This window comes from Homo sapiens, chromosome 19 (assembly GCF_000001405.40).
Source record: "Homo sapiens chromosome 19, GRCh38.p14 Primary Assembly".
Taxonomy (NCBI): Eukaryota; Metazoa; Chordata; class Mammalia; order Primates; family Hominidae; genus Homo; species Homo sapiens.
Window position 1 is genome coordinate 54,349,537 of NC_000019.10, and position 27,019 is coordinate 54,376,555.

At 48.7% G+C, this 27,019-nt stretch overlaps 1 protein-coding gene across 12 annotated transcripts, besides 1 other annotated feature; it reads right to left on the reverse strand.

Annotated features, from left to right (window-relative positions):
* Window positions 1-1,847: 1,847 nt before the first annotated feature.
* On the reverse strand, window positions 1,848-26,552 carry LAIR1 (leukocyte associated immunoglobulin like receptor 1). 12 transcript variants are annotated; one of them, XM_047438811.1, is made up of 11 exons: window positions 26,368-26,552; window positions 20,726-21,177; window positions 14,759-14,794; window positions 11,380-11,670; window positions 10,486-10,536; window positions 7,392-7,430; window positions 6,955-7,083; window positions 6,820-6,862; window positions 6,694-6,731; window positions 6,418-6,470; window positions 1,848-5,878 (listed from the first exon to the last, which is right to left on the reverse strand). In XM_047438811.1, exons 2-11 carry the CDS (start codon window positions 20,739-20,741, stop codon window positions 5,732-5,734), a joined length of 843 nt encoding a protein of 280 aa, XP_047294767.1. In that variant the 5' UTR covers window positions 20,742-21,177; window positions 26,368-26,552; the 3' UTR covers window positions 1,848-5,731. The 12 variants fall into 12 exon arrangements, 10 of the variants coding, with proteins under 10 accessions (XP_047294767.1, XP_047294766.1, XP_047294768.1 ...); XM_047438810.1 differs by having other exon boundaries at window positions 24,794-26,552; NR_110279.3 differs by lacking the exons at window positions 20,726-21,177; window positions 26,368-26,552 and adding an exon at window positions 15,235-15,395 and having other exon boundaries at window positions 11,474-11,673.
* Window positions 7,502-8,021: an enhancer, noted in NCBI's record as "H3K4me1 hESC enhancer chr19:54868647-54869166 (GRCh37/hg19 assembly coordinates)". NCBI's record gives its function as "activates a minimal SCP1, AML or CMV promoter by ChIP-STARR-seq in naive H9 embryonic stem cells {active_cell/tissue: H9 hESC(naive)}" and the evidence as "EXISTENCE:reporter gene assay evidence [ECO:0000049][PMID:30033119]".
* Window positions 26,553-27,019: the final 467 nt, after the last annotated feature.

A 27,019-nucleotide genomic window follows, 5' to 3' on the forward strand; every position in this document is an offset into this window, starting at 1 on the left:
GAGGGAGGACACAGATCCTGAGGATGGATGGAGGGAGGACGCAGATCCTGAGGATGGATGGAGGGAGGACGCAGATCCTGAGGGTGGATGGAGGGAGGACGCAGATCCTGAGGATGGATGGAGGGAGGACGCAGATCCTGAGGATGGATGGAGGGAGGACACAGATCCTGAGGATGCATGGAGGGAGGACACAGATCCTGAGGGTGGATGGAGGGAGGACACAGATCCTGAGGATGGATGGAGGGAGGACACAGATCCTGAGGATGCATGGAGGGAGCACACAGACCCTGAGGGTGGATGGATGGAGGACGCAGATCCTGAGGATGGATGGAGGGAGGACACAGATCCTGAGGATGCATGGAGGGAGGACACCACGCCCGGCTAATTTTTGTCTTTTTAATAGAGATGGGGTTTCACCATGTTGGCCAGGCTGGTCTCAAACTCCTGACCTCGTGATCCGCCCGCCTCAGTCTCCCAAAGTGCTGGGATTACAGGCGTGAGCCACCGCGCCTGGCCGGCTTTCTTAGTCATGTTTAATTTAACGAAAATTTTATAATGATCTGAAATGTAAATGGTTTTTAAAGAATTCAAATTAGGATTCATCAAAAATAGGACTGTCTTTATTGTTGAAAAACATTGTATTTCTTTAATAATGAACAACTTATTAAGTTATGATGTGATTTAACTGGTATGAAAATTTGGGAAATTAGAATCTTGGTAAAGTACAGATTAGTTAAAAGAAAAAGATGCTTTAGAAAAATCAAAGACATTTCCGAAAGAATGTACAATAATCAATAGCAGTTTGGCCCCAGTGTTATAGAGGATGGGGAGAAGGTGGAAGAATGAGAAAATAACACGCATTTCACGTAGTATATGTGCACAAATCTTTTTCTTTTGTTGCGAAGAAAATGTTTTATCACAACAAATGTAATAAATTTAGCAACTTTGTTCTGGAGATCAATCAATAAATCCAAATAGGAGAAGGAGGAGGGGTCTGTAAAAGCAGAAAGCAATTTCAGAAATGAATATATATAGTGTACTAAATAAATTGAGCTGGATGGTAAATAAAGGCAACAAGAAAATATCTGTGAATCCTAGACCAGCTGTGATGATGGCTCTGTATGCCCTTAAATAACGGCAATAATTCATGAAAAAATAAAGACCTTGTCCTTTCTTTATCAAAGTGATTTATTATTTATTTATTTATTTATTTATTTATTTATTTATTTTTTAGAGACAGAGTCTCGCTCTGTCACACCCAGGCTGGAGTGCAGTGGCTCGATCTCAGCTCACTGCAAGCTCCACTTCCTGGGTTCACGCCATTCTCCTGCCTCAGCCTCCCGAGTAGCTGGGACTACAGGCACCTGCCACCACGCCCGGCTAATTTTTTTGTATTCTTAGTATAGACGGGGTTTCACCGTGTTAGCCAGGATGGTCTCGATCTCCTGACCTCGTGATCCGCCCGCCTCAGCCTGCCAAAGTGCTGGGATTACAGGCGTGAGCCACTGCGCCCGGCCCAAAGTGATTTTTATGGAGGTACAATTTAGGACTAAATGAGGCACATTTTACTTCTTGGAACGGCAACAGGAAAATTCCCATCCCGCAGCTCTCACAACTCAGATCTTAGCAATTGGAACAGAACAGGTTGTCACTGCTGAAGGACCAAGCAGAACAACGGTTTCAGGAAGCTTTAGCTCTAAATCCCAGTAGATGTAGAGCAGGTGCAGAGCTCTGGGGACTCTCAAAGCACTTTTAACTCTGGTTAAGTGTCAGAATTGCATTTAGACATCAACACATTTATATTCCTTGATTCTTTCTTCTCCCTAAGCCTTAAACATATAGTCACCTTTTATCAAAAAGATATTTTATTTGTCTAAATGGAAGATATAGTTTACTTTCTTCACACAGATGCCAGAAATTTTCTATGAACGTAAAATCTTTGGTGCAATCAAGTGCATACTGCTTCCCAGATCCTACAAGAAAGGAGATTAAGGTGTAGAATTTTACACTCATCACAGAAAGTTTTCAGAGACTAACTGGCATCACCAACCAAAACACAACATGCTATCACCACAACTATTTTTAAATGTCTTAAGTAGTAGTTTCCATTGGACAGCAGGTGTGTAAGCAGGAGCCAAGAGTGAAACACGCTCTTGCTCCTCTTCCTAGCAAGAGAGCAAAGACTGTGAGGTTTGGTGTATTCATCCAGAGAGAGTGTTTTAAATGGGGCTATGACAGAGAAGGTAGACGAGGTGTTGGGCAGCCCTGGACACCCTCAGAAAATATCCCTTCTTCATGAATTTATTTTCTATGTTCAGTTTTACACTAAAAGGTAAAAAAAAGTTAAAAAAAAGAAAAAAAAAGTCCACCCTATAGTTTGTATAACAAACATTCTCACTTGTTCATGCTGTATTCAACGTCGAGCCCATTTTCTTTCCCCTACTACAAAATCCCACCGCTGGGGTCCTGGTACCTACAGTGATGGTTCTGAATAAAGCCCTCCTTACTCTGCTTTGATAAAGGTCACCGGGTAATCTTTCTCTCAACGCCTTGCCCAGCTGGCCCAGGGCTCCAAGAAAGGGAAGGCCAGACCCCTGGCCTCTGCCCTGGTTACTCACAGGGACATCTGTGAATATCTGCTGCTGCCCCATCTGGCCCCGGTGAGGCTGCTCCTCCCTTTCACGTTGGGCCCCACTGCAGCCTCCTGGTGTTCACCGCCAGGGCACACCCCAGGGGAACTGGGGTGGGATCATAAGCACAGGGTAGGCCCTCCCTCTCTGCCTGGCCACACTGCACTGCCAGGTGAATTAAACATGGCTCTTCCCCCAGGTGGTGCTTGGGGGCCCGTGCAGCAGGAGGGACATCTTCTCCGCACAGCAATGTTCCCAGATCTCACCACCCTGAGTTCTGGCCCCTGCGTTGGGCGGGTTGGCAAGTCAAGAGAAAAAACAAGCCCCTGCATCTAATTTTCTGTCTTCTCTCTGGGCCCTTCCTCTTTCCACTAATATGTCAAGAAATAACAGTGTGGTATTTTTGCTTAATTTCCCCTAAACTCTATCTGTCCTGCTTTCCACTGTGACCTCACCACCTGAACTTCCTGGACTTCCTTACACTGGAGCAGACACTGGCATCTGCTCAGCTCTCCTGTGCTCTGCAAGGGGTAGAAAAATTCACCCATCCTCTGCTATGTGCAGACTGTCCACCTTCTGCTATAGAGTTCATGTACCCACCTGTCAACCTCATAGTCAAACAAACAAGACGTTATGGGAGAAAACACCCAGCTGATGGTTGAAAAACAACCAGAGAAGAAAGACAGAGATGTAGAAAAAGAGACAAAGACGGCTGGACGCAGTGGCTCATGCCTGTAATCCCAGGACTTTGGGAGGCTGAGGTGGGCAGATCACCTGAGGTCGGGAGTTCAAGACCAGCCTGAGCAACATGGAGAGCCCCCCGTCTCTAACAAAAATACAAAAAATTAGCCGTGTGTGGTGGTGCATGCCTGTAATCCCAGCTGCTCAGGAGGCTGAGGCAGGAGAATCGCTTGAACCCGGGAGGCAGAGGTTGCAGTGAGCCAAGATTGTGCCATTGCACTCCAGCCTGGGCAACAAGAGCGAAACTCCATCTCAAAAAAAAAAAAAAAGAGAGAGAGAGACAGAGAGACACACAGTGAGAGAGAAAGACAGAAAGAGAGACAGGGACAGAGACAGACAGAGCAGGGAGAATGTGTCCCACGTGAAGAACAGGGAAAATCGGTCACAATGTTCACACAAGAAAGCAAAGATACAGAGTACAGCACTGGGAAGCAGATCCCAGGAGGAAATTAAACCTGAGCACAAATAGAAAATTAAAGCTCAGTACAAATTAAAATTGGGTAGGCCAGTCAGGTACCACCCTCTTTGAACCAGCACAGAAACCTCCCAGCAGACCGAGCTGCAGCCCATCCCGGGGTTCATAATGTGGAGTCAGGAGCCTCAGGTGGGTCTGAAGCCCCTGTCTCTGAGACTTGGCCGACCTTGGACAGGTTACTTCATGTCTCGGTCCATAGTTTCTGTTTTTATAAATGAGGAAAATAATAGAGCACGCTGTGGAGGGTTTGTAGGAGAATTTAATGTGTCCACGTTTGCCTAGAACTAAATTAGCAACTGCCCCATAGAAAGAGCTGGCTGAGTTTTTGCTGAATTCTTAAAAATCTTTCTTTTCTTTTCTTTTCTTTTTTGACGGAGTCTCGCTCTGTCGCCCAGGCTGGAGTGCAGTGGCACCACCTCGGCTCACTGCAAACTCCGCCTCCCGGGTTCACGCCATTCTCCTCCCTCAGCCTCCCGAGTAGCTGGGACTACAGGCACCCACCACCACACCCGGCTAATTTTTTTGTATTTTTAGTAGAGATGGGGTTTCACCGTGTTAGCCAGGATGGTCTCGATCTCCTGACCTCGTGATCCGCCCACCTCAGCCTCCCAAAGTGCTGGGATTACAGGCGTGAGCCTCCATGCCCGGCCTGTTTTTGTTTTTTAAAGACAAACACAGATTAACCCAAATGAGATTCTGCCGCCTCCTAGTGGTACATAGGGTAATTTTCTGTGTCAATCAGTACATCTGACCCTACAGGTAGGGTGGATACTCAGAAATGCCTCAACCAACAGCAGGCTCAGTGATTCCTTGGATTTCCTGGGGCGTGTGAGTGTATGTGCATGTCTGTGTGTGTGCGTGTGTGTATGCATGTGTGTGAGAGCATGCATTCCTGTGCATGTATGTGCAGATGTGGACCTGTAGGGTCGGCTCTCTGCCTTCACCCAGCCACACCTCCCTCATTCATTCCTGATACACGTGATTTGTCAGAAAACACTGACACCAATGTGAAGTCCTAAGATGAGCAAGTTCAGAATATCTAATGTATCGTATCTGTGGCGATGGGTGCGCTGAGGAATTGATTGTGACTGTCATTGCACAATGTACGTGTACGACAAATTATCACATTTTACACCTTGAATACGTACAATCCTGATCAATTAAATTTTAAAAAGAAAACGCTGACACGTTTTCGTAAGTCCTGTTTCCCTCACTCAGCTTTGAACAACTGTGAAGGCAGAGAGTGGGTCCGAGAGACCTATGCACCCAGGACCAGGCCTGGGGCTGCCAGATGTGAGGCCTTCAAAATTATTTATTGATGCGTGGAGTAAAGCACAACCCAGAGAACTGGGCTTGGCTCTCAGCTGTGTGTGTATAGCACAGTCTCAAGGCTAGCTCTTGACTTCTAGGAAGGTCTTTAGGGTCAGCAGGGCAGATAATTACAGCAAAGTCTCTGGGGTCACTGGAGGTTCACAGCAGACACCTAGGACAAGCTTGGAGGTGGCATCACTGCTCAGGAAATCGGCTGATTGGCTGTAGCTGGGCCTTTAGAACAGGCAGGTGACTTTAGCTGGGTCTCTGGAAACAGTCAGGTGAATAAAGCTGGGTCTCTAGAAACAGCCAGGGAACTGTAGCTGGGTCTCTGGAAATAACTGAGAAACAGTCTGTCCAAGGAGCTGCTCGATTGTAGAAGGGACCACCTGGCTAACGAACCTTCTGGATGCTGGTTAGAAACCTCCAGTCTCCAGCTCTTGTCTCCAGGACAGCTGCCTGGCTGGCTTTCTAGATGAAGAGGAATCCAACAGGAAGCCTTCCAAATGGCTGCTTCAGGCTTTTCCTAGAGTGACTTTCTACCCTCAGGTGCAGAGGCCAGGTGGGTATGGGGTCAGTGTCTGGCAACGGCTGCATACGTGATGGACTCGGCCATGGGCTTTGTGGACTGTGGGGACACAGCCCGGGCTGTCCTCTGTGTGAGGGCCCAGTGGTCCAGCTGAGCATACGTCACCTCCTGGGAACTCCCTGCAGCCAGGGCCTAAGAGGGAGAGACCCAGGGTGAGGGAGTGCCTGGTGGAGGGTGAGACGAGGGGCTGTGGGGAGGGAGGGCTGTGGCGGCCATCTCCATGGGCCCTGAGGACCCTCTCCTAAATTGCATCCGTGTGAAGAGCCCTCCCACAGGGTATTGGGGTTGGTTTACGTGACAATGAACAAGGCAGAAGGGAAGACTCCTGACTTCCAAGCTGAGCCAAAAGACATGGTGCTTCTGTCCCCTCCCTGCCACCCATCCTTGGATCCCTCCCTCTGGGGGAAGCCGGCTGTGTGGAGAGGCCCCTGTGAGAGGAACAGAGGTTTCCTGCCCACAGCCGGGGAAGTGAGCGTCTTGGACGTGGATCCTCCAGCCCACGGGAGCCTTCGGATGCACACAGCCCTGGGCGACCTCTCGACAGCAACCTCAGGACAGGCCGTGAGCCGGAACCGCCCAGCTGAGCCACTCCTGAATTCCTAACCCAAGGAACTGAGATTTTTTTAAGCTGCTAAATTTGGGGTACTTTAATAACTAGTAGGAAGGCTCACCGAGGTGTCCGTCTCTCTGTCCTTCTCAGGAAGTCCATTGACTGTGGCCTTGTCTTGGGGAGAAAATACATGGTCAGTTTTCTGGGGAGGATGTCGCAAGGCAAATCTGCCTGAGACCCCCACCCCCAGCTTCCGATGACATCCTGCACCCAATGTATAATACGACCTTCTAGAATGTTCCCAAAGATTCTTCCCCCCACCCCCCACATTGCATCTGGATTGGCACCAAGTCCCCACTTCCCCATCCCAGGCCTGTCCCTCCTCCTCCCCCTTTACCTGCTGTCCTCTCTAGAACATCAACAGCCAGGTCAGGCCTAAGAGGAAAAATAAAAGTGAACCTCAGGGGCAGCCTGGCGGCCGAGGACTGGGTGGAGGTCCAGGAGTCATTCCCAGGGGCCTCACCTCTGCTGTGGCTTCTGCTCCTCGTCCTTGCTTCTGGGGGGCCCTAAGGACAGTCGGGGTGTGAATTAAGGAGACCTTCTTCCTAGCCTCTCCTGACAGCTTCCCAGGTCACCCCACCCTGCCCCTGAGACCTACCCTGCTTTATCTGATTCTGGCGATGGAGGCAGAAGAGGACCAGGAGGAGGAGACAGAAGAGGAAGACCACTGAGACCCCGATGAGAATATACAGATGCTCAGCTTTCAGGCCTTGGGAAGCAGGTGCATCTAAGAAAGACAGAAACAGGATTTCAGCAGTGTGCATTTATTGAGCACCTACTGTATACCACACACACGTCACGTGCGTTTCATAGACTTACTAATATATAAAATATCTTAGGTAAATAATAGTCCTGCAGTACAGGGATCGTTATCCCCTTCTTCCACCACCGGGGTCCTGAGTGCTGGAGTCCTCTGCACAGGGACACAGACTGCCATTGGCAGAGCAGGAATCTGATCAACCCCAAAGCCTGACCTCTTTCTCCTTCCCCAAGAGGCACACACCAGCTTCATGCTCCACGGCCCCCATCACTCACGCTCATTGTGACTGTTGTCCGACGGCCTCTGCGTGGGTCCTGGGAGGGAGGAATCAGAAGGAGGAGGAGTTAGAGTCCTGAGCTGGACAGAGAAGGCTCTGAGTCCTCCCACATCCACTGTGGGGATCTCCCTTCACTCCCCAGGACCCTGACTGCTCCCTCTAGACCAGCACCGACCAGCAGAGTCTTCTGTGATGATGGAAACTTTCTACATCTACTGTCCAGCATGAGAGTCACACATAGCTATTGATATTTAAATTTATCCAAAGTTGAATGGCATGAGAAGCTGGCTGCACCGTCTGCACCTCCAGGACTCAGTGACCCCACGGGCCTGATGCCATCCCTACTGGACGGTGCAGATACAGCGCGTTTCCTGGGCGTGAAGCTGTAGTAGACATCGCTAATTTCTGCCCTCTGCGGATCTAGGCAGAGACCAACCACCCGCAACAAGAGGAAGGGAGACCTTCCCTCCCTGACCTCCTTCTGGGTTCCCACCAGAGGGCAAGAATCCTCATGTCTGATTTTATCTGCCCTCCCGGCAACCCTCTGACGGGGATGTAACCCGCCCTCCTGTGGGAAGAATCCAAGTCCCGATGTGCTCCTCTTTCCTGAAGCCCTGCAGCTAGCGGGCGAGTGTGTGGGGCACCGCCCAGGCTCCCTACGCAGCGCATTGCAGGCCCGCCCGTCATCTCCTCCAACCTTCACCCTCCTCTGCACAGTGCACGCCACTACCCAATTCCCAGGTGGCTAAATGGGGTCCTGAGGGGCTCCCCCAAACCCAGGGTCCGAGCCAAGCGTCCCTCTTCCAGGAACAGCGGTCCCTCCCCTCCCCCGGGGCTGAGGCAGCATCTTCAATATCCTTCAAGAAAGGCAGACATTCTCTCTTGGAATGTCCTTCCCTCCTGCCTCGTCCACGGTCTAAGGTCCAGGACACCACCCGTTATTCTACACCATGACTTCCTGGGCTTGGTCTTCATAACATTTGCCACCATTTAAAATTACATATGTATTATATATGTGCAATATTACAGTTTTTATATTATTTATAGTTATATGTATCATGTATTATGCAAATGTATAATATATAACAAATATATTTTTAATTATGTAATCTTGACATATACATATAATTTAATGTATATAATGTTAATTGTATATGATTTATAACTTATAATATATGTTACATATATTCACTATAATATATAATGTATAATTTATATTTGATATAAACCTATGATTAAATATAAAATATTTTTTCTATTATAGTTATACATAATGTATACATAATAGATAATATATTTACATTAATACCTATATTTATTTATTAACTATAACACTTGAAATTTATTATACTATATATTGTAAATATATCTTTCATATAATATATAATATACACTATAGTCATATGTAGTGATACACTAACATGTTTTATTATATAATTATCTTCCTTATATATATAATATATATATAATATATATATATATTATGATGTAAACATATATAATATAATTTAAATTATAGGTCTGAAATTCTACATTGCAAATCATATATTTTTATCTGTATATGCATGTATGGGAATCAGTGCATTTCTATTGCTCATTCTAACTATTTCTCCCCATTGAAGTTCACAAGACGGGAGGCCATTTCTCCTCATTCTTGGTGCATCAAATCCGGAGGCTTCAGTGCCTGGCACAGTCCCTGTGAGGACAAAATACTTCCTCAGTATTAATAGGAGCATCCCTCCTTTGGGGTTTTCTAATCAGCACTGATGTCAGCGCCGTGTGTACCTGAACTCAAGTCTGCCCTAAACGATTCTACCAGGACAGCTCTTCTATTGCCTCTGTTTCACATGAGGAATTTGGGACACAGGAGGTTTGGGTGAGTCACCGTCAGGCATAGAGCCAGGAGGTGGCAGAACCACCGGGATTTGAACCATGAACCCAGCAATCTGGCTGCAGGAGGGTCTGTCCTCGTGACCTTTATATGTCACTGCATGAAGGTGAGAGAAGAGAGAAGGAAGGAGAAGAAGAGAGGGAGAGAAACAGAGGCAAGATATTCCCGCAGACAGAAGGCTAATAAAAACCAGACACTGGACTTGAACCAGGTCTGCGGGACTCAGGAGCATGTCCCGCTGTGCCCCAGCAGCCCAGGAGCCTCTGAGGGGGTCCGGATGGAGCACGGCATCGCTCCTCCCACCTCCCCATGTGGCTTCAGCCCCTGGTCCCACCTGCCTGAGCTCACAGCCCGAGCCTCACAGGCAGTCACCGGGTCTAGGTCCAAGGACGTACTCTGGGGATAGAAACCCAGGTGGGGAAGGGGCCGCGAATGGCTTATGACCCCGTGTCCTCCCCTGGGAGTTTCTGGTCACAGATCACAGGGGGAGATGGACAACTTGAGACCCAGGGACTTGGGGCAGCTTCAATCCCATCACAGAGTCCAGGGCAGAGCCAGATGGAAGGGAAGCCTCATGGCTTCATCCTGGTCACCGTTCACAGCTACGTCCCCTCCCTGTGGAGCCCTCCTCCTCTTAAGGGACCTTACTCCACCGTTCAGGCCTCCCCCGGAGATCACAGAGCCAACAGGAGCAGCCCCGTCCCTCTCCGGGTGTCCCAGGTTGGAAGGTGAGTTCTAAGTCCCTCCATCAGGTGCAGAGCGGGGTGAATGGTGAGGCCACGCCCACAAGGGGGCAGCGTGGAGCTCGGGCGAGCCCGGAAGTCTGGGGTGGGGCTGCCCGGGTGGGTGGCCCCTGCCCCTTCATGGCCTTGTGCCGTTAAGCACGAAACTTTAATTTATGTTTTGCATATTAGAGAGGAGGAGGAGTTAGAGGATCAGACTAGTACCTCCCCCATTAAGTGGTGCTTGCATTAAGTGCTTTCCACAGTTCCTGGCATGGAACAAGGTTGCAATCACGGTACCATTGCTGCTATGGTCTCTGTGAGCATTAGCGACCTCCCAGAGCTTGGTGGGTGTCGGTGCCTTCCCGTGGCCTCCCTAGACCTTGACTCCAAGCCCAGGGCAGAGGGCTGGACCCGGAACAGCATCCGCAGCACAGATTCCCCTGTAATCCCCTCCAGCTGAGGGCCCTGCTACTGACCAGCTGAGGAGCCGGGCTCTGTGTCCGGGGAGTCCGGGCCTCCAGAGCTTTCTGTAAACAGGGGCAGGAGAAGGATTTAGAACCCGTCCCAACCAACCTGCCCTCCTCCACCCTGAGCCCCCATCCAAAGGCCGCATGACCATCACGCAATCCCAGACAATGTCTCGAGACTCCTGAGAAAACGGGGCAGGGGACAGGAGGCTGGGGAGAGCCCCGCTGCTTGCCCCATTCTCCCTGGGGCTGGTCACTCCCTCTGCTCCTCCCACCACAAGCTCTTCTTGACCTCAGGGGACTGCTGAGGTCCTGGAGGGACATGAAGATGGGTTGGATCCTCTCCAGTGGACTTTGACTCCAGGACATCTCGGGCTGAGCACACACAGGGGTGCATGTGGTCACATACCAAAGGTTTTCCCAAAGCACTGTCCCGCCCTGGTCAGGGGCCATCCCTGGACCCTGCGTTCTGCCCAGTGGGAGATGAACCACACCAGGAGAAGCACATTGCCTGGGGCAGGTTCTGGCTCAGTGGAAAGGAATAAGCGGGACCATCCATCCCGTGTGAAAAGACACTCATCCTCTTGTAGGGGGGTTGCCCCCTAATCTCTGGGAACCCACTCCCCACCCAGCCAAGCAGAGCCAGCTCTGAGCCCACCAGATGCTGGAGCTGAGTGTCCACGCCATCCGTGGCGTCCAGAGGAGACCAGGGCTCCAGGAACCTAAGCAGGTGTGAGGGCAGAGGGGAGGTGTGTGCAGAGGAAGAAGGGGAGGGGAGGGCTTGGGGTCAGGAGGAGGACAAGGTTGGCCACAGAGGACAGCAGCTGGGACAGGGTCCAGGGACCTGGGGACAAGCTCGAGGGTCGAGCTGAGACTGGGGCAGGGCCCAGGTGACGTCCTCACCTTTCACCAGCAGCTCCAGGTAGTCACTCTGCTCAGACCATTTAGGGGGCTTATAATAGATGCAGCGATAAAGCCCGGCATTTCCTTCTCTTACTGAGTCAATGCGGAATCTGGCCTCTGACTCAGATGGACTAGCTTGAGACACATCTTCAGTATCATTGTATGTGGATCTACTGTCCCTCTCCAGGCGGAATGTTTGAACCCCAACCGGGCCCCGGCACACGAAAGTCACATGGCTCCCCAGGGGGATCACGGTGCCTGGCTCAGCCGAGATGGAGGGTCTGGGCAGATCTTCTAGGAGGGAAGCAGAGCAGGATCTCAGCGTCCACTGTAGGAAGTCACCATGCCACACACGTCATTTTAGCATCACAATTCAGGGATTTTAGCAATTTTATAGAGTTATGCAGCCATGACCACAGCCCAACCTTAGAACATTCCCACGCCTCCTGCACCTTCTACGTGCATGTGATTCTCATCACTGCAGAGTTTTTTCCCAGTTGACAGTGAGGACCCTGAGACTTGCTCACAACTTGGGCCTTGCTCAGGGTCATGTGGGAAGTGTCGGAGCAGCCTGGAGCCCTTCATGCCTGCTGCAGAGCCCAGGGCCACTTTCCAGAGGGACAGAGTGTGGGAGGGAGGCACAGGATGGGGATGACAGGGTCATTGGTGAAGGACAAGGGACAGAGAAGCGAGGGCTCTGGAGATGGCTTGTGCTGGGGCCTGAAGGGCACTGGCCGGTCCCCGGGTGGGACTGAGTGTGGGACGGGGGTTGCCAGGCTCCTTTGAGGGTCTGGTGGGGTGAGGGTGAAGCCCCCAGCCCTGATCTGCTCACAGCAGATGCCCAGCCCGTGACAGGTCCCCATTGCTAATGCAGATCTCTGTGGAGACACCACCTCTGGGTTTTCCTCTATAGTTTCTACTTTCTTCTCAGCCTAATTTGCATTTCCTTCTTATTAAGGCTCTTGAAAAACCCCATTTATCTCAACTGGGCTTGGGGTGGAGGAGGAAGGGCGGGTTTGACGCCCTGAAACAGGAAGGTTGTGTCAAAATTAGCAAAATCCCTGAGCGGGGCAGAGAGCTGGCAGGGCTTCAATTCACTCGTCCCGTCTTCATTCATTCCTTATTATTGACAAATTAAAACTGCATGTATTTAAGGTGTACAACATGATGTTTTGATACAGGTATACACTGTGGAATCGCTGAATCAAGCTAATTAATATAACCTCACTTTGCGTAGTTAATTGTTGTGGTGAGAACATTTAAAATCTGCCCTCTTAGTGATTTTCAAGCATATGATACATTGTGATTAACTCTAGTCATTGTGTTGCACAATCCTGAACTTACTCTTCCTGTCTAGACGAAATTTTCTATCCTTTGACCAGCATCTCCCCAAACCCACCCATTTGTTCATTTTTCTTTCTTTTAACCATATCTCAGTTACTTATCAATCTGTTTAAAGACGTTTTTCATGGGCTGCTAATTCCACAAATGTGAGAAACACACACAGGATGCCTGCCGTTTGGAGGTGGACTTCCAGAAGGGAGGACCGGTATTGATCAAAGAATTGTCCAAATCTGCAGCTGTGAACTGACAGAGTCTTGCTCTGTCACCCAGGATGGAGTGCAGTGGCGCGATCTCAGCTCACTGCAACCTCCGCCTCCAAGGTTCAAGCAATTCTCCTGCCTCAGCCTCCTGAGTAGCTGGGATTACAGGTGCACTCCACCACGCCCAGCTAATTTTTGTATTTTTAGTAGAGACGGGGTTTCCCCCATGTTGTCCAGGCTGGTCTCAAACTTCTGACCTCAAGTGATCCACCCACCTCCGCCTCCCAAAGTGCTGGGATTACAGATGTGAGCCACCGCACCCAGCCTCATTGGTCATTTTTAAAATGAATTATTTTTTTTCAAAATCAGCATGTGAGAAGAACCACCATATTGAGCGGCATATGGAGTGTTTGAGAAAGCGAAAGAACCTGGAGGAATGTAGAGATGAGTGAGCCCCAGGTCACAGGGACAGGATGTGGCTGGGAAAATGGGCATGTCCAGACCAAAGAGAGGTGCACAGGTCTGATTCTATCTGAAGATAAACAGGGGAAGGGCTCTGAGAAAAAAAAAAAAAGATTTCATCTTACGATGAGATATTAAATGAAAATTTTTGAATACAATTTAAAAACTGTGGAAAGTACAATGGTCATGGTTGTGCTTTTGCAAATCGCCAGTCCCTGGGGTCAGGAAGGGAGCAGGCAGCAGTGGCATGGACAGGCTGAGGCCGGCCTCGGGGAGCCACGGAGGGGAGAGGGGCTGTCACCTGGGGGTGATGCAGGAAAAGTCGATGAAGAGAGAGGGAAAGATGAGAAAAATTTAGAGTGAAATCACCAGGACTGGGTGACATGGTGCATCCAGGAGGATGGAGAAGAGGATGAGTGTTCAGAGTCTGCCCTTTGTGACTGTCATGTTCCCCGCCAAGAAGCTGCCGAGTGAAGTGTGGGCTCGTCTGGGGAAAAGTGCCGGGCTCAGCCTTGGTTGTGTTGGGTTTGAATTCTCATTGTGGAAATCGGTGTGCGGAGCTGACGCCTGCACTCCCAGGGTGACCGCAGCACTACTCACAGCCGCCAAGACCTGGCAAGAACCTGAGTGCCCACCGCCAAATGAATGGATGAGGAGAATGTGCTGTGTATATGCAATGGAATATTATTCAGCCCTAAAAAAGGAAGGACATTCTGTCATTCGCAACAACATGGATGAACCAGAGGACGTTAGGCTAAGTGAAATAAGCCGGGCACAGAAAGACAATTACTGCGCGTTCTCACTTATCTGTGGAATCTAAGAAAAGTTGATCACCCGGAAGCAGAGTAGAATGGTGGTTATTGGAGGCTGCAGGTGCGGGGCATGGGAGAGACACTGATCAAATGATACAAAGTTTCGAGTAGCCAGGACGAGTGAATTTTTCAGATCTATGGCACAGCAGAATGACAGTAGTTCATAATAATTTATTGTATATTTCAAAATTGCTAAAAGGAGATTTAAAATATTCTCATCACAATAAGTATGTGATGGGGCTGATATGTTAATCAGCTTTATTTAATCTTTCCACAATGTGTACATACGTCATAATATCACACTGTACCCCGCAAATTGCAATTATTTGTCAATTAAAAATAAAATTTTTGAAAATAAGAAAAGCAAAATAAGACAGGTGGAGGATGCGAGAGAGAACTGGGTGAGGGTTGGTTATGCATTTTACATTTGGAAGAGTTTGCAATCTAGGGTATATTTAAAGGGATCTCTCCAGGCCCTCTAAGAATCAACATCACTCCCACCCAGCACTGCCCTTGGGGTGACAGAGGGGACTGGGAAGATGGGACGAAGGCATGACTTACCCTCCTGCGTGTGGATGGTCTGGGCCAGGCAGAGCACTGGAAGAGAAGCCCCAGTGAGAAAAATGCCCAGTGCCCAGTCTCCTTACGGGGCTGCTGTCAAAAGGGGGCTCGATGGAGCTGGGGGGCATTCAGCATTTCATAACGACCAAGCCAACCCTCCTCGACATCACTGTCTCCATGTAATCCTTCTTGCTGCAAAATGGTTTCAAGATAAATCCCAAAGTCTCCTCCTCCAAAAAGGCTCCTGCTCCCCCAGCCCTTCTTAAAGCTGACCTCATCCCCACACCCGGGCCCCTGTTTTTAGGACAAGATCTTCTCTGATCAGACTTAGGCCCCAGGGAGAGCAGCAGGGCAGTCTTGGGAGGAGGAGGACACTTTCCTCCCCAGAATCTTCTGGACTAGAGTCAGGCTTGAGCAGGGAATTTTCCAGACCTCCCGACCCCCTTTCCAGCCTCCCGGCTGCCTCCAGGACTCACCTAGGCCCAGGAGGGCGGTGGGGTGGGGAGACATGGCCCAGGTCCCAGCAGTGCAGCCTGGCCTGAGGCGCACCAATGCAAGGACAGAACTCTGCAGCAGACACAAGCAGACAGGATGTGCTGCCCGGGGGCCTCCTGCCTATGGGGCTTCCACAGCAACTGCCTCACACAAGAGGAAGAGCTTTCTGTCCTGTTCTTTCCACCCTTCCCACTAGTGAGACGAGAGGGAGGGCCTTGGTTTCTGAAAAATGTCGCTTACCCTAAATGTCGCTTAGAGGCAGATGACCGTAAACTAGTTACCAGATGTGTCAGCCTCTTTCTAAATCTATGGGACAAGGCAGAATAAAGGTCGGGCAACCAATTGACTTGGACGCCGTCCCAACTCCACAAGTTAACGGTCGCAGCTCTTGGGCAAGACGTTACAAAACTAGAAGCTGACATTTCCTTGTATTACAAATGGGAGCCATAGAAATCCTTCCCCAAGTTTTTAATATTGTGATCTATGCTAAAATCCCGACAAGGTATTTAACACGTTAAAAATATCCTACAAAGCATATTATTTTTTTAAGGAGACTATTGGTGAGGATGTGGAGAAACTGGATCCCTCGCATACCACAGTAGGAATTAAAAATTGGGCAATCACTATAGAGAACAGTGGGGAGGTTCCTCAAAAAATTAAAAATAGAGCTACCATATGGTCCAGCAATCCCACTTCTGGGTCTGTATTTAAAAGAAACAGGCCAGGCGCAGTGGCTCACAGCTGTAATCCCAGCACTTCGGGAGGCCGGGGTGGGTGGATCACCTGAGGCCATAAATTCGAGACCAGCCTGGCCAACATAGTGAAACCCTGTCTCTACTAAAAATACAAAAAATTAGCTGGGTGTGGTGGTGGGCACAGCTACTTGGAAGGTTGAGGCAGGAGAATCGCTTGAACCCAGAAGGCAGGGGTTGCAGTGAGCTGAGATTGCACCATTGCCCTCCAGCCTGGGCAACAACAGCAAGACTCTGTCTAAAAAAAAAAAAAAAATCAGTATGTCAAAGAGCCGTCTGAACTCCCCTGATCACTGCAGCACTATTCGCAATAGCTAAGACGTGAAAACCATCTAAATGTCCATTGATAGAATAATTGATATAGAAAATGTGGTGCACACACAGGGGAATACTATTCAGCCTTAAACAAGGAAGAAAATTCTGCCATGGGCGACAACACGGACGAAACCTGAGGACATCACGCCAAGCGACGCAGAGGCAGAGACCAAGTACTGCATGATGTCACTTACAGGAGATCTGCAAAGTCACCAGAGTCACAACATCACAGCAGGGAATGGTGGTTACGGGGGCTGGGAGGAGGGGGAAATGGGGAGTTATTAACAAACAGGCCTAGAGATCTGCTGCACCACATACGACCCATCGTCAGCAATAACGTCTTGTTCACTTGAAATTTGTTAACGGAATAGACCTCATGTTATTTGGAGGGCCCGGAGGAAGACAGGAAGAGAAGGGAATGTTTGAAACTTCTTAGAGATGGATTAAATGGTTGTGACCAAAATGCTGATAGTGATGTGAACAGCGAAGTCCAGGCTGACAAGGTCTCAGCTGGAAATAAGGATCTTACTTGGAACTAGAGCGAAAGCCACCTTTGTTACGCCTTAGCAAACAACGTGGCTGCATTCTGTCCATGCCCTAGAGATACCACGCCAGGGTGTCTGGCGGAAGAAATTTCTTTTCTTTTTTTTTAAACGGAGTCTCGCTCTGTTGCCCAGGCTGGAGTGAAGCAGTGCGATCTCGGCTCCCTGCAACCTCTGCCTCCCAGATTCAAGCCATTCTCCTGCCTCAGCCTCCCGATTAGCTGGGACTACAGGCACCCACCACCACGCCCGGCTAATTTTTTGTATTTTTAGCAGAGTCGGGGTTTCACCGTGTTAGCCAGGATGGTCTCGATCTCCTGACCTCGTGATCCACCCGCCTCGGCCTCCCAAAGTGCTGGGATTACAGGCGTGAACCACCAAGCCTGGCCAAGTCAGAAGAAATTTCTAAGCAACAAAGTGTTCAAGTGGCATGGCTTCTTGTACCAACCTAGGCTCAGATGTGGGAGCAAAGAAATTACCTAAAGGTAGAGTTTATATTTAAAAGAGAAGCAAAGTGTAAAAGTTCGAAAAATTTGCGGACTAGCCACATGGTAGAAAAGAAAAGTCCGTTTTCAGGGGAGGAATTCAAGTAGGCTGCTGGGCAACGACTTGCTGGAGAAATTTGCATAACTAAGAGGGAGTCACGTGCTGTACCAAAACATCTCATCTACCCCATAAATATATACACCTACTATGTATACACAAAAATTAAAAATTTAAAAACATATATAGTGACATGAGATGTAGTGTGAAATGTCATTAAAAGATGAGTTTGCATCAGAATAGTCCAAACGTTTCAAAAACATTCCAGCATGATCACTGCCTTGCTGACCAGTCTTCCTCCTGAGACGTGGTGACAGTAATGATCACAAACTTGGATCTCGTGGACAGACAGGGGAATTCAAGCTAAACCCTGGTCCTCAAAGAGTTCTGCATGTTACAGTCCCTGGTATATCCTTCCAATCTAATCCAATTTTCTGTGAGTCCATAAGACAGCAATCCATCTAAAAAATAACAATAAACCAACTAAAACTGCTTAATATAATATGTTAAAGATTTTTTAGGCCGGGTGCAATGGCTCACGCCTGTAATCTTCTCAGCATTTTGGGAGGCCGAGGTGGGCAGATCATGAGGTCAGGAGATCGAGACCATCCTGGCTAACACGGTGAAACCCCGTCTCTACTAAAAATACAAAAAATTAGCCGGGCGTGGTGGTGGGCGCCTGTAGTCCCAGCTACTCAGGAGGCTGAGGCAGGAGAATGGTGGGAACCCGGGAGGCGGAGGCTGCAGTGAGCCGAGATCGTGCCATTGCACTCCAGCCTGGGTGACAGAGCCAGACTCCATCTAAAAAAATATATATTTTTTTTAATTTTTTTTTTTTTTTTGAGACAGAGTCTCGCTCTGTCGCCCAGGCCGGACTGCGGACTGCAGTGGCGCAATCTCGGCTCACTGCAAGCTCCGCTTCCCGGGTTCACGCCATTCTCCTGCCTCAGCCTCCCCAGTAGCTGGGACTACAGGCGCCCGCCACCACGCCCGGCTAATTTTTTGTATTTTTAGTAGAGACGGGGTTTCACCTTGTTAGCCAGGATGGTCTCGATCTCCTGACCTCATGATCCACCCGCCTCGGCCTCCCAAAGTGCTGGGATTACAGGCGTGAGCCACCGCGCCTGGCCTAATTTTTTGTAATGCCTAAGAGATATAAAAACTAAGTGAAGGCTATGCAGTCAAAAGTTAAAGAAAGATGGAGTCCCCAGCCTCAAGCTGAATACTGAACCTGGAGCTCACCTTGATGATGATGAATTAACTGAGCTTTATTTTCATGGTTTTGTAAATCATGAGGACAAGGATAAAGTGCAGGGGTACAGATTCCAAAAGCTTCCACCTCATCATAAGAATGATTTCAAATCACTCACCAACTTCTCATGGTTGCAAGGAATACTACATTTGTTTTGAAACTTAGCATTGAACATGAGGCCAAAACACAGTGGCTCCTGAGAATGACTTTCCTGCTTCTGACTCTTCTTTTACTGGCATAATGGTTTCTATGCATTAGATTATCCTCCCTGCCTCTTTTCACTTTAGGTCTTCATTAGTGATTTTTATTCAGCTTTATCAAAGGATCCTTTGCACACAAACTGCATCCACTTAATCTGTGCAATTCAGTGAATTCTGACAGCTGTGAAACCACCAACATATCCAAGATTTTCTTCACTGCTCAGAAGATTCCTCATGCTCCTTTGCCTCCATGTGGCCACTGGTTCCTTTTTGATATGTATTTGTTGACTGATTTATTTATTTATTTATTTATTTATATATTTATTTTGAGACTGAGTTTCACTCTTGTTGCCCAGGCTGGAGTGTAATGGTGCAATCTTGGCTCCCGGGTTCAAGCGATTCTCCTGTCTCGGCCTCCTGAGTAGCTGGGATTACAGGTGCGCACCACCATGCCCAGCTAATTTTGTATTTTTAGTAGAGACGGGGTTTCTCCATGTTGGTCAAGCTGGTCTCGAACTCCCGACCTCAGGTGATCCGCCCACCTTGGCATCCCAAAGTGCTGAGATTACAGGCGTGAGCCACTGCACCCGGCCGACTAATTCATTTTTTAAACACACTTCTTACCTGGGAATAAATTTAAACTTGCAAAAGAGTTGCAGAGGTACAGAGAGTTCCCATATGCCCTTCATCCAGGTCCCTCTAATGTTCATGCTTTACACGACCCCAGCACATCCGCCAAAAAAAAAAAAAAATTAACACTGGTACAATAATTAACTGACAGGCTTTCTTTGGATTTCATCATCTTTCCACTAACGTTCTTTGCCTGTGCTGGGATCCAATGCAGGGGCACCGTCCTGCATTTACTTCCCTCTCTGTTAACTGCAGAGAAGGGTTTCTGTTTTCCTGGTTGGACCCTGATTAATATTCCCCTAGTATCTGAACTCCAGGTGCCCAGGAAGGTTGGGGGGCAAGGATGTGCTGCCCACTGGGGAAGGAGTGGCTGGCAGAATCGACATCCGTCTGTTCCTCCACAATCCAAGGTCACAGAACACATGGGCAGTTATTCTGGGTTTTTCCATAAGAAGGGTGATACAGAGCTGTCGTTGTTCCATATTATGAGGACCCCTCCACCTTTGCATTCCTCTAAGACCTTTCCTCTGAGACTCTCCTCCAAGCTGGAGAAGACAAGCTACATGCTTATGTCCAAGGCATGCTGCAGATTCAGCATGGCACAGCTCCCTCACTCAAAAACGTTACTTGATGTGGGATGCACAGGCATAGAGTAGTGATTCTCACACTAGACTCAGATACATACACAATATTTGCAACTTAAATTAAACACCAATTAAATGTCAAGTGGAAAGACAACATCTACAGAAATAAAATGACACAAGATGCAATGTGAAATGTCATTAAAAGAAGAGTTTGCATTAGAATAGTTCAAATATTTCAAAACTATTCCAGCACGTCACTGCGTTGCTGACCTATCTTCCTCCTGAGATGTGGTCGCCGTAATGATCTCAAGCTTGGACCTCGTGGACAGACTGGGGAACTCAAGCTAAACCCCGGTCCTCACAGTTCAGCACGTTGCAATCCTGTGTCGTTCCGTCCAATCTAATCCAATCTCAAGGACCCCAGTTCCTGAGCAACCCTGGCTTGGCTCGGCCAAAGGGAAGCGTCTACAGAATCTGAGTCTAGAATGCCCGGAGGTCTGTACTTCTTGCTGTTTTCAGGAGATTCAACTGCAAAGCCCTCCCCAAGTCATCCACATTGGCTCACGTTTCTGTGCCCCACCCTTCCTGCCTGGGAGGACCCTTCTTGTTCAGCCAAAAAAGCAACCTGAGGGTGGTGTGGTAGCAGGGACTCACCCATTTCTCTTTCCATCTTCTGTCGCGGATGCAACCCTGGAAGGAAGACCTCAGGACGATGATCATCTTCATAGGATTCCCGACCTGTGCCTGGCTTTGTCCTGAATATTAGCCTTGGCAGCCTGGCCTGGGCTCCGATGGTGGATGAACTTGGCTTTCCACGGGCTGCCACCTCCAGCCTGCGCTGTGGAGAGACCAGGTCCTCGGAACAGTATTTTAACCTTGTCCTCCTTTCCCTTCCAGGGTTTACCAAGACATAGCGGGTGTCATAGATGTGAAAAAGCTTCTGCTATACCAGGGTCAGGAACGGAGCAAAACTGAAAACCGCACAGGATGTGGTCTGCCAGGTGCCAGCATCACAGCTCAAATCCTTAAGAAGCTCCAGCCGCAGGCACGGAAATAAACAGCTTCTCCCTGCCCTGTATACGTCTCCGATTTTACCCAGGATGGGGCTGAGGAAGCAACACAGATTCCCAAACGTTACTTTTTTTTTTTTATTTTGCTTGAGAGCCAAGGCAATATTAGACAAGCCTTACTCCCTAATTAGTGCCTGACAAGAACCATATCTCTGTCCCAATCCTTCTATTCAAAGTAGGCACAATTTGCTTTTACCAAATGTAAAACTCATGTCAAAGCCATGCTGTGAGTATTTACACCAGAGAAATCGGCAAATGCTACACGTCGGGGTTGTTTTTTGTTTTTCTTTTTGCTTTTTTTTTCAGAGAGCTGATTGTCAAGACTTTACCAGCACACTGCTGGTAAATTTCCAAAGGCCAATTTAAAGAAATTTTTTTAACAGAACATGTAAAAAAAAATCAACGTGAAGTCAACATGCTCCAGGGAAATCAGACAATTGATAAAGCATGTCTATTTCTGTAGTGTATACTCCAGCCTGTTTCCCCCTCCTACCTCAGGTACCGTAACCAGCATCTGAAGTCTTATATTCAAATTTCCCTTGCACTTTTGTAAATATAGTGTTCTCTCATCGATGTACCTATTTGGTGTGTATGTATATGTGTGTGTATATATATATATGCTATCATTTAAAAATTGTATTTATTTATTTAAGGTGGGTCACCGAGGCTGGAGTGCAATGGTGCAATCTCAGCTCACTGCAGCCTCCACTTCCCAGGCTCCAGCGATCCTCCTGCCTCAGCCTTCTGAGTAGCTGGGATTATAAGGGTGTGACCCCATACCCAGCTAATTTTTGTATGTTTAGTAGAGATGGGGTTTCGCCATGTTGACCAGGCTGGTCTTGAACTCCTGCCCTCAGGTGATCTGCCCGCCTCAGCCTCCCAAAGTGCTGGAATTACAGGCATGAGCTACTGTGCCCAGCCTCGTTTTTAATTTTAGTGCAAAGTATAGTTTTCAAAACAATGTTTGCAATGTCATCAAATATAGAATGAGCACGCATCAATGTCTTCTTAATTCATTAATGATGAAATCATCATTCAAAATTCCTGTCTTTACCCAAATATTTAGCTTCTTCTGTTGCTCTTCATTTGTTCCTGCGTTTCTCCATTTCCACTGGGATGATTTCCTCTTGTCCAAGCCTTTTATTCTGGCAACCAATGAACTTTACACTCTTTCTATAGTTTTGCCTTTTCCAGAATGTCACATAGTTGGAATCAGACAGTGGATACGCCATTTGGGCGGGCTTATTTCGTGTAGTGATATACATTGAACTCTCCTCCACATCTTTTCATGACTTGAGAGCTTGTGTCTTCTTAGCATGGGATAATATTCCATTGTCTGGACACATAGTTAATCCACTCACTTACTGAAGGGCATCTTGGTTGCTTCCAAGTTTGGGCGATTATGAATAAAGCTACTGTAAAGATCCATATGACCGTATGTTTTCAGCTCCCTTCGGTAAATATCAAGGAATGCAATTGCTGGATTACATGGCAAAGCTATATTTAGTTTTAGAAGAAATTGCCGCACTGTCTCCCAAAGTGGCTGTACCATTTGGCAATCCCACCAGCAATGAATGAGAGTTCCCGTTGCTCCACATCCTCGCCAGTAGGCCAGTATGTGGTATTGTCTGCGTTTTAGAATTTGGCCACTCTAATAGGTGTGTCGTGGTAACTTGGTTCCTAAGATACTGATAGAGGTGCAGAACACCAGCTGGGAAGTCAGCCAGAATGAGCTTCTCCTGTGACTTCCTGTCCCACAGCCTCAGAGAACTTTGACAAGCCACTTCCCCTATAAACTTGTCTTTCTTTCTTTCTTTTTTTTTTTTTTTTTGAGATGAAGTCTCACTCTGTCACCCAGGCTGGAGTGCAATGGCATGATCTTGGCTCACTGCAACCTCCGCCTCCCGGGTTCAAGTGATTCTCATGCCTCAGCCTCGTGAGTAACTGGGATTACAGGCATGCACCACCACACCCAGATAATTTTGTATTTTTAGTACAGACGGGGTTTCACCATGCTGACCAGGCTGGTCTCGGACTCCTGACCTCGTGATCTGCCCACCTCAGCCTTTTAAAGTGCTGGGATTATAGGTGTAAGCCACTGAGCCCGGCCTCCTTATAAACTTCTCTAAATCTAAATTTGTGAATATTCTTTCTTTAAAAGTCGATCAACTGGCCTGGCACAGTGGCTCATGCCTGTAATACCAGCATTTTGGAAGGTCGAGGCGGATGGATCACTTGAGGTCAGGAGTTCGAGTCCAGCCTGGCCAACCTGGTGAAACCCCATCTCTACTAAAAATACAAAATTAGAGGGGCATAGTGGCGGGCGCCTGTAATCCCAGCTGCTTGGGAGGCTGAGAGGCAGGAGAATTGCTTGAACCCAGGAGGTAGAGGTTGCAGTGAGCCGAAATCGCACCACTGCACTCCAGCCTGGGCAACAGGAGCGAAACTCTGTCCTAAAAAAACAAAATTAAATTAAAAAGCCAGTCCTGGTGTGGTGGCTCACGCCTGTAATCCCAGCACTTTGGGAGGCCAAGGCGGGCAGATCACGAGGTCAGGTGATCGAGACCATCCTGGCCAACACGGTGAAACCCCATCTCTACTAAAAAAATACAAAAAGTTAGCTGGGCGTGGTGGCGGGCACCTGTAGTCCCAGCTACTTGGGAGGCTGAGGCAGGAAAATGGCATGAACCCGGGAGGCGGAGCTTGCAGTGAGCCGAGATCGCGCCACTGCACTCCAGCCAGGGTGACAGAGCGAGACTCCGTCTCAAAAATAAATAAATAAATAAAATAAATAAGTCGATAGACCAATATTTATCAATTACCTCTTATACGCTTGGTGTTTGAGATTCAGGAATGAACAAAACAGATCCAGTCCCTGCCCTCAACCTAGCTCTTAGTGTAATGATTATGGGAACAGGGTCAAATAGCAAATCACAAATTATTTCACGACTATTGTGAGACAAGAGTGAGAGCCAAGAGTGGTGGTGCACACCTGTAATCCCAGCTCGAACCAGGGAGACAGAGGTTGCAGTGAGCCGAGATCGCACCAATGGCTTAACACAATGGGATTTGGCTTTTCACTCATGTAAATGACCAGTGCGGTTTTCTCTGGGGCAGAATTTGAATTTTCTCCCCAGGATGACTCAGGGACACCCGCTTCCTCCATTGTGCTCCCATCATGCCCTTGGGCAATGGCGTCCCGTACTTCAAACAGCAAGAAAGAAGGAGAAACAGAATATATCTGTGCACTTGCAAAATTTGCTGACACATGTCATTTCTGTCCAGAATTGTTGGCTATAAATAGTGTTATGAACAGTCACACAATGATGCAACAAGACCAGGGAAAAAGTCCCTTGGTGGGGGTAGCCACTTCCCAGAGGTTCCAATGCTTGCACTGTAAGGGTAAGTACAGAATTTTTTTTTTTTCTGGTGAGCAGCCACATATTTCTGCCTCACGTGAAAAATAATCTCAAGAAGAAATGTACCTGAGAATGTATAGCCCAGGAGCATGATGTTGTGACACCTGATTGATGGACCATGTGGGGTGATTGACTCCCCTGTACTTAGAAGGAAATCAAAACCAAAGGTTCAAGTAATATTAAAGAGAAACATTGTCATATTCCCTCTGGAACCCATGCACGTCTTAGCTAACCTGCAGAGAGGAGTAGAAACCACTAGAACTGAAGGAGGCAGCTCTGTGCAAGGGTGACGGCCTTCTCCCCTCCCAGTTCCCTTAGTTCTGGAGTTCGATGAAGGACGGGGTCCACACGGCCCACTCCGTTTCCTCTTTCTCTGAACCGGGGGTGCAGAACCTGAACCCAGACAACCCCTGGGTATGAGTCCGGCCCCAGATCACAGCTGTGGTTTTGGCTGCCGCAGTGACCTTGGCAAAGTCCTGAGTCGTTTGCTGTTGTGGGTATGATGGACAGCTGCGACGTTTTCCTGGACTCCCACTGAAATCTTTAACTTCAAGATCATCTTCTCCATCCCAACAGAACTCATCAGGCCCAGAAGGCTCCCAGCCCCAGAGGTTCCCAGAGCTCTTCAGGTGGAATGTTGAGTCTGCACAAGCCAGGATGGTGACTCTGGAGAAGTTCTCCAGAAAAGAATCAGCATCTAGAGTCTCCTGAGTTCCAGGCCCTTAGAAATTTAGACTCCAGAACCACTGCCAAAGTGACCCCCTCAGCCCAGCCCTTCGGTACCCAGCATCCACTGTCCTCAGCCCAGCCCTTCCGTACCCAGCATCCACTGTCCTGGTGGGAGTCCGCTGTGCTGCTCCAAGAAGACAGACCCTCACCATTACCGGAAAGACTGACCCTCCTGTGTCCAGGTCCTGTGGCCCAGACTCAGCTCTGGAAGAGAAATCTGGATTTACAATGCTCAGTACGTCGCTCAAAATCTGCACTCGATGACGTCTGTAAGCTCTTGGTCCCAGCCTGGGCTGCGAAGCCTGAGGCTTGGGCAGACAATGCCGTCCCGCCGTCATCTCTGCTCCCTCTTCGATCGCTAAGCTCCCACAGCATTGATCTAACCAGACATGGGCCCAGGGAGAGAGCTGTCTTCCCCACCTCCCAGCCCCAATCCCTCAATCCCTCGCCTGCCGTGCCAAGACTGGTCAAGGGAAAGTCCAGGAAGAAAGCATGGTAAGGGGCACCGTGCTGCCTGCGCCCGCCCCGCTGTGCAGAATGCAGAGGCTCAGGATGCGGTGCGCAGAGACTCAGTCCCAACCGTCTTGTGGCTTCTTACCACGTATCTCCCAGGAAGTCACCATGAGGCTTAGTTCTTCCTTCCTGTGACTGGGGTAAAGGAGAGAACTGTCTCCTTGGACATCATCATCCATACGCCCGGCCCGAACGTCATCTCTGACCCAAACACCAAATCCAGACGGGCAACCACGGCTGTGGGGTGTGGAGGGGGAATCTGAACACCAACCTGGAGGTCAGACTTGAAGGAGACGGCGACGCTGCCTTCGCCCCATTCACAATATACAACCTTCGATGGGCCACCTCCCCAGTGAGGCTTCATCAAGGGGGCTTGGTCAACTTCCTTTTTGTGTGAACGAAAACATACGTTTCCAGGCGCCTATTAAGGGCTTGAGTCTGTGTCAGAGACGAGCCACACAAGTCAACGGACCTCACAGTCTAATGTGGAGGGCACACCTCTGACTATTCAAAAGTCATATATAGCATATTAACCGTAGATTTTAACAAATTAGCCTTGAAATACCTGCAGTTTGTCACAATGGAAGGCTCACTTCTCACTGGGTGACACGTCCATATGGGGGCCCCCGGTTGGCAGTTGGAGCTCCTCCATCAGGTGACTCAGGTGCCCAGATTCTTCCAACTTTGGGGTCCAACCTCCCCTAGAACCTTGGAGTGCTCTGTTACCAGTGAGGGGAAAGAGGAAGAGAGAGTGGAAAGGGCTCATCCGTGCCTTTTAAATAAAAAATCTGAATGTGACCAGGCGCAGTGGCTCACGCCTGTAATCCCAGCACTTTGGGAGGCCAAGGCAGGCAGATCACAAGGTCAAGAGATGGAGACCAGCCGGGTGCGGTGGCTCACGCCTGTAATCCCAGCACTTTGGGAGGCCAAGACAGGTAGATCACAAGGTCAGGAGATCGAGACTATCCTGGCTAACACGGTGAAACCCCATCTCTACTAAAAATACAAAAAAATTAGCCGGGCATGGTGGCGGGCACCTGTAGTCCCAGCTACTTGGGAGGCTGAGGCAGGAGAATGGCGTGAACCTGGGAGGCGGAGCTTGCAGTGAGCCAAGATCGTGCCACTGCACTCCAGCCTGGACGACAGAGCGAGACTCCATCTCAAAAAAAAAAAAAAAAAAAGAGGTGGAGACCATCCTGGCCAACATGGTGAAACCC